Genomic DNA, 6,114 nt, shown 5'->3' on the forward strand with positions numbered 1-6,114 from the left:
GCTAAGAACCCAGGAGCCATCAGCTGTGCGACCTCAGGTCAATAACAGCCTTATGAAGCCTCAGGTCCCTCATCTGTAAAACGGGAGGAAACCCTTGTTGCATGGCAGGCTTGTGGTTCAGACTGAAAATTCTAATTACTACTGTGGCTGCTGTTGTTCAATCCATAGGCCCTGGAAGTCTGGAAGCAAGAACTCCACACCCCAACAGTGGTTTCAAACTTTGGTGTGCACTGAGATGACCAGGGTTACTAGCAAAAATGCAGATTCCTGGCCAGGCACGGTGGCTCGTACCTGTAATCCCAGCACTTAGGGAGGCCGAGGCCAGTGTATGGCTTGAGGTCAGGAGTTGGAGACCAGCCTGGCCAACATGATGAAACCCCATCTCTACTAAAAACATAGAAAATTAGCCAGGCATGGTGGTGCGTGCCTGTAATACCAGCTACTCAGGAGGCCGAGGCAGGAGAATCGCTTGAACCAGGAGGTGGAGGTTTCAGAGAGCTGAGATCGTGCCACTGCCTGGGTGACAGAGTGAGACCCTGTCTCAAAAAAAATGCGGATTCCAAGGTCCTACCCCTAGGGATCCTGACTCCATACGTGGGGCCAGGCCTAGGACCCTCCACTTTAAATAAGACCCCAGGCCATTCCCACTGGGGAAATGCTGCATCTAGCCCCACACCAAAGACACCCGGGTAAGCAGGTCTGCCACGGACAAAAACGCCTCGCCGTGCAGAAACCGGGGCTGGACGTTGTTCGGGGCTGATTGCCCATTTATGACTCTAGGTGGACTTTGTCTGCAGTCATGGCTGGAAAAGCTGGCAAGCAACAGACACCTTTGCAAAAATAGCAAATAAACAATATGTCACATTTGTGGTTTCCTCCTGGGAGGGGCAGAGTCTATATGGGCAATTGACTTAGGGCAGAATCCAATTCCAACATGAACTAACTGTGTGGCACGGGCCGAAGCCCTTGACCATTCAGTATCTGCATGATGGGAATTTTGATAGCAGTATCAGAAACAGCCCCATGGGGTTTTGTCAATTACACGAGGCTGTCAGGAACCGAGGCCTGGAGCCAGGACCCCGTCAGGAAGTTTAGGGATCCACTGGATTTATGGCCTCCATGCTCAGGGTGTCAGGTCCCAAACCTTCTCAATCACAGGAAAGCAGGACTCAGGCCAAGGGAAGGAAGCACATGTCGCAGCTGGAGACCACACATACCTTGGCAGCACCCCAGGGAGAGAAAATTCCCTGCTGCACCAGGCTTCTCTGTGCACTTCCAGCCCCCGTCACTTAAGGAACCCCTGTCCCACTCTGAGTCTTCTTCTGAGGCCTCTGTTTGTGTTGTCCTGCTCCTGTCCTGGCCTCCAGATCCCTCCTCTCGTAGGGTCCTAGGTCTGAAGGAAAAGCAAGATGGCGGCAGTCTGGGGGAAGAGCATGTGCTTGGGGTCCCCGTGGCCCATTTCTGGGCTTGGCCTGGTCACCTGCTGCAGTCAGTATCACTCATTCAGACCTAAGCAGTAATGCCAGGCGGGTCATGTCCTCCTTGTAAAATTGTTTGTTTGGAGAATTTGTGGTGAACTCCAAATCTCTCTCTCTCTCTCAAAATTAATACCATTAGAGTCATTTGTGCTTGACTGCAGCCCTATGGAAGGGACAGCCCCACTTCTCCCCTTGCCTCTTTGTGGTTATTTGTAGGGCAGTCACAGGAAACCAGTACAATGGCATTTCCCCCTAAACATGAGTGTGGCTCTCAGCGCAATCCAGTTCACAACAAATAGCCCATCCTTGACCTATAGGACCAGGCCTCAGGAAGGGCTCGGGGGCCTCAGAGGCAAATGACACCCAGCCCTTCAACCCTGCACAACCACAGACCTCACACCCAGTGGTAACCAATTTGGCTGAACAGCACCCTACACTGTGGGCTCCCCGTGGTGCTGGGCCCCCTCACAAGGAGGCAGGGCACACCCTCCTGATCTAGCCTGAGCCCCTGAGTCCTCTCCCAACCTCCTCCCAGCGATCTCAGCTGCTCCAGCAAGGCGTGGGGCTGGTGTCCTTCAGCTGCCTCCCTCTCCAGAGGAGGAGAGGCGGCAGATGTTGAGGCAGAGGTGGAGAAAAGCTCCTGGCACGCTTGCAGCCGGGGTCACCTTGTGCACGGGCAGAGTCAGGGAAGGGTGAGACAGTAGGTGCCCTGTGTGGAAAACCAGAATCTCGGGGCCAGGACCCAGAGAATGCTGGAGGGCCCGGGAGGTCAGCGCCTGCCCTCTCCCCATGAGGGAGGCCCCCTCCCTCAGGCAGTCTGCCTACTTCAGAGTGGGGAGTCCAGGTTGTCAGTTCTGTATGGTTGATGGACCTGGTCTCATTTGCCTCTGAGGCCCCCAAGCCCTTCCTGAGGCCTGGTCCTGTAGGGCAGGGATTTCATATTTGTTGTGAACTGGACTGAGCTGAGCCACGCCGACTTCTGGGGGGAAATGACATTGTTTCGGTTTCCCTGGCTGCCCTACAAATAACCACAACACGTGTGAGTGCGGGAGGGGAGGGTGAGGTGTGGGGGGGTGAAAACAATAGCAACTTACCCTCTCACAGTTCTGGAGGCCAGGAGTCCAAAGTCAAGGTGTGGGCAGGGCTGTTCCCCCTGGAGGCTCTAGGGGAGGGTCCTCCCTGTCTCTTGCAGCCTCTGGTAGGCCCAGGCACCCCTCGGCTCCAATCTCTGCCATCCTTGCACATAGTCTCCTTTCCCCCGAAGTCTCTATGTGTTCTTTTCTGTATCTTGTAAGGACTGTCTCATTGCATGTAGGGCTCACCATAATTCAGTGTGATTTTATCTTGACTCTTACCTTAATTATCTGCAAAGACTCTTTTTCCAAATAAGGTCACATTCTGAGATTTGGGGTAGAGATAAACTTTGGGGGGACATGATTCAACCTACTAAGCCATTAAATCACAAAGAGCACGCAAGAAGGACCAAAAAGGCAGCGGGAAGTGGGGAGGACCTTGATCCAAGGACTTCCACAGCTCAGGCCTCCCTTGTTCCAGCCAGCAAGGACATTCTTTCCATGAGCACCTTTGACTTCCACTGCTAGCCAGGATGACGGGTTCCTGGCTCTCTTCTACAGATGAGGAAACTGAGGCTCAGAGGCCCTTGAATGCATAGCCAAGTTCACACAGTCAGCCACAGCTGGGACTGGAGCTCACTTGGTACCAAACCCTGGGGGTTTCACAGCCAGCTCGGCTGGATTGAAGAAGCCCCACCTCCACTCCCAATGAGGTTCCAAGATCTTTCTCCAAGGAGCTTGCTTTATCAATAAGAAATGAATCTTTTGTTTTTGAGACAGAGTCTTACGCTGTCACCCAGGCTGGAGTGCAGTGGTGGGATCCCCATTCACCGCAACCTCCCTTTCCTGGGCTCAGGCAATCCTTCCACCGCAGTCTCCCAAGTAACTGGGACTACAGGCACATGCCACCACATCTGGCTAATTTTTGTATTTTTTGTAGAGATGGGATTTCGCCATGTTGCCCAGGCTGGTCTCGAACTCCTGGGCTCAAGGGATCTACCCTCGGCCTCCCAAAGTACTGGGATTACAGATGTGAGCCTCTGAGCCCAGCCAAACTGTCTTGATGCTCACGTTATTTCACTACCTTAGATTATGAATTTTGGAATGTGGCCAGTTTCCTGGAATCACATTAAGAAGTGAGGTCCAGGAGAACAACGATTAATTTAATTATTAATAGAAATCAGCCTAGACCTGGGAAATAAGATGAGGAGACCCAACTGTCCCCAGCCTTGTCCTTGTGCCCATGTGGGAGGCCATCCTGACTCCATTTAGATTTTTGCTTCTTCCTACACTGACAAAGAACACTCGGGCGGCTCCAGGGAAATGTGCCCAAGGTGTGGAGGGGGCTGGGGGAGTGGAGATCATTTTTTTCTGTTCCCAACCGTGCCTTTCTGCAATGTCTGTTCATCCTTGAAGACCTAAGACTGGAGAATGTGGGGTTTGTTTGTTTTGGAGAGACTGGGGGGGAGGGGGGGGTCTCACCATGTTGCCCAGGTTGGCCTTGAACTCTTGGCCTCAAGCGATCCTCCTGCCTCAGTCTACCCAGTAGCTGGAACCATAGGCGTGCCAGATTCGGCTGAAGAGTTTTGTTAGGAAGTTTTCAGCACCTTGGATCATATCCTGAAAAAGTTCATTCACTGATTCAACCAATCTCTACTGTGCACTGCCCAGAACCAGAGTGTGAGCTCCACGGGGTAGGGAGGGCGCCAGCTTTGCTCTCAGCTGCCCCCGGGCGCTTGGGACCTGGAACCCATGAATGAACAGACCCCGTTCTAGATCAACAGACATTCAAAGCAGCGCTCTAGGGGAAGGGCAGGGGAGGAATGAGCGTCCAGCCGCCACGGCTCTGCTTCTTTGCCTGTGTGTAAGTGGTGGGATTTAAAGGTGGTTGGGTGCAGAGGCCCTTCCCCCACCTGCAATCCTCCGGTGCCAATGCAAGTGCCAGGGGAGGGGTGGCGTTTCTGTTTACTTCCAGCCAGGTCAGCTCCCTTGCCCCCGCCCCTGTGTTTGCATTTTCTCGGTTTGGCGAGCTGGTGGAGTAGCCGCGGAAAGAAGGCGGATTTAAAGGCTCCATTTGGAGGAGGCTTTTGGAGAAAGCTTGCACCTCCCATCACACCCCCAGGGCAAGTCAGCCGCCTCAAAAGTGCCGGTGCCGGCCCTCTGTGAGCTGAACACCTTCGCACAAACCCCCGGGAGCGGTTACTATTACCCTCATTTTCCCGGGGAGGCGCCTGGGGCTCAGAGAGGCCAAGTGACTCACCCAAGGTCACACAGCTTAGCAGTGGCCGACCCGGGATTGGAACCCGGGGCTCCGGACCCCGCGGCGGCCGTTTCTCGAAGATACCCACTACCTCCCTCTTACACCGCTCAGGAATAAAGCAGGAAGGCCGAAGGCCCCGTTTTCGCCCAAAAACAATGCTCCACGTAAATTTGCGGGAACAAAAGCCACCAGAAATCCAGCCCGGGTTTTCCGCCTCTCTGCTCTCCGCGGACCAATCGCGTCCTGACGGCCGCCGAGAGACTAGAGGCGGTGGCTCCAATATGATCCATAGCCCCCCAGGGCGGCGTGGCCGCGGCATGGGCGAATGGGATTGGGGACCCGGCACAATCACGGGCGGAGAACGGGCCGCCTGAGCCAATCAGCTAGGGAGGGGGGAGGGTGGGCCCGGCCGGCCCGGGCTGCCCGGAGAGGCGGCCACCCCGCCCACTTCTGCTGGTCCCGGCCGCCCGTCAGCCGCGAGCGCGACGATCCCTCTGCTCCTCGGCCGGTGCCTGCTCTGCCGTCGTCGCCGTCGCCGCCGCCGCCCGTCCGCCGCCCGTCCGCCGCGCGGGAGCAGCAAGGCCGGCAAGTCCCGGCAGGATCCCTCCGCGACTGCCGCCTTGCGTCCCTCCCCCTCCAGCGCCCGTTCCGCGGCCGCGGCCCCCATCGCTCCCTAGGCTGCGACGCCGCGCCCGCGGCCCTGGGTAACGGCCGGCCTGGGGCCCGCAGTGACAGACCCTGCGGCGCGGGGGGAGATGGGGGCGGCCGCCTTCCGGGCGACGACGACGACAACGACGAGGAGCAGCCGCCGCCGCTGCCGCTCACCGGCCGCTGCTGGGCACGGGCATGGGCTCGGGAAGGCGCCTCCCCGTGAGCGGCGGGCCCAAGGCAGCTCGTCGCCCCCGGCCGCCGCGGGTCCCCCTACGGCGCCCCGCGCGCGCCCGCCCGCCGGCCCCTGACGGGAGCCTTGCCCGGCTCCGGTCCCCGCCCCGGCGCCCGCCCGGCCCGCGGCGCCCGCGCGCCTTCGCCCGGACCCGACCCCGGCCCGCGCGCCCCCGGTCCCGGCGCGCCCCGGCCGCGGCCCCCGGCGCCCCCCGGCCTCCCCCGCGCGGGCCCCGGGGCGCGGCGCGGCGCGGGCGGCAGCGTGGTGGAGAAGCGCTGCCCGCTGCAGAGGGACGGCGTGTACCGCTGGTTCTCGGAGCTGCCGTCGCCTCAGCGCGTGGAGTTCCTATGCGGCCTGCTGGACCTGTGCATGCCGCTCGAGGTCCGCTTCTTCGGCTCGTGCCTGGAGGACCTGGCCCGC

At 58.4% G+C, this 6,114-nt stretch overlaps 1 long non-coding RNA gene across 1 annotated transcript, besides 1 other annotated feature; it reads right to left on the reverse strand.

Annotated features, from left to right (window-relative positions):
- Nucleotides 1–490: 490 nt before the first annotated feature.
- Nucleotides 491–5,238, reverse strand: LOC124903445 (uncharacterized). The gene is made up of 4 exons (XR_007064503.1): nucleotides 4,034–5,238; nucleotides 2,304–2,457; nucleotides 1,218–2,187; nucleotides 491–830 (listed from the first exon to the last, which is right to left on the reverse strand). It is a non-coding gene; the product is annotated as an uncharacterized LOC124903445 (long non-coding RNA).
- Nucleotides 2,346–2,415: a silencer, noted in NCBI's record as "silent region_6256". NCBI's record gives its function as "represses an Ori minimal core promoter by ATAC-STARR-seq in GM12878 lymphoblastoid cells {active_cell/tissue: GM12878}" and the evidence as "EXISTENCE:reporter gene assay evidence [ECO:0000049][PMID:35858748]".
- Nucleotides 5,239–6,114: the final 876 nt, after the last annotated feature.

Source organism: Homo sapiens, chromosome 15 (assembly GCF_000001405.40).
Source record: "Homo sapiens chromosome 15, GRCh38.p14 Primary Assembly".
In the NCBI taxonomy this organism is placed as follows: Eukaryota; Metazoa; Chordata; class Mammalia; order Primates; family Hominidae; genus Homo; species Homo sapiens.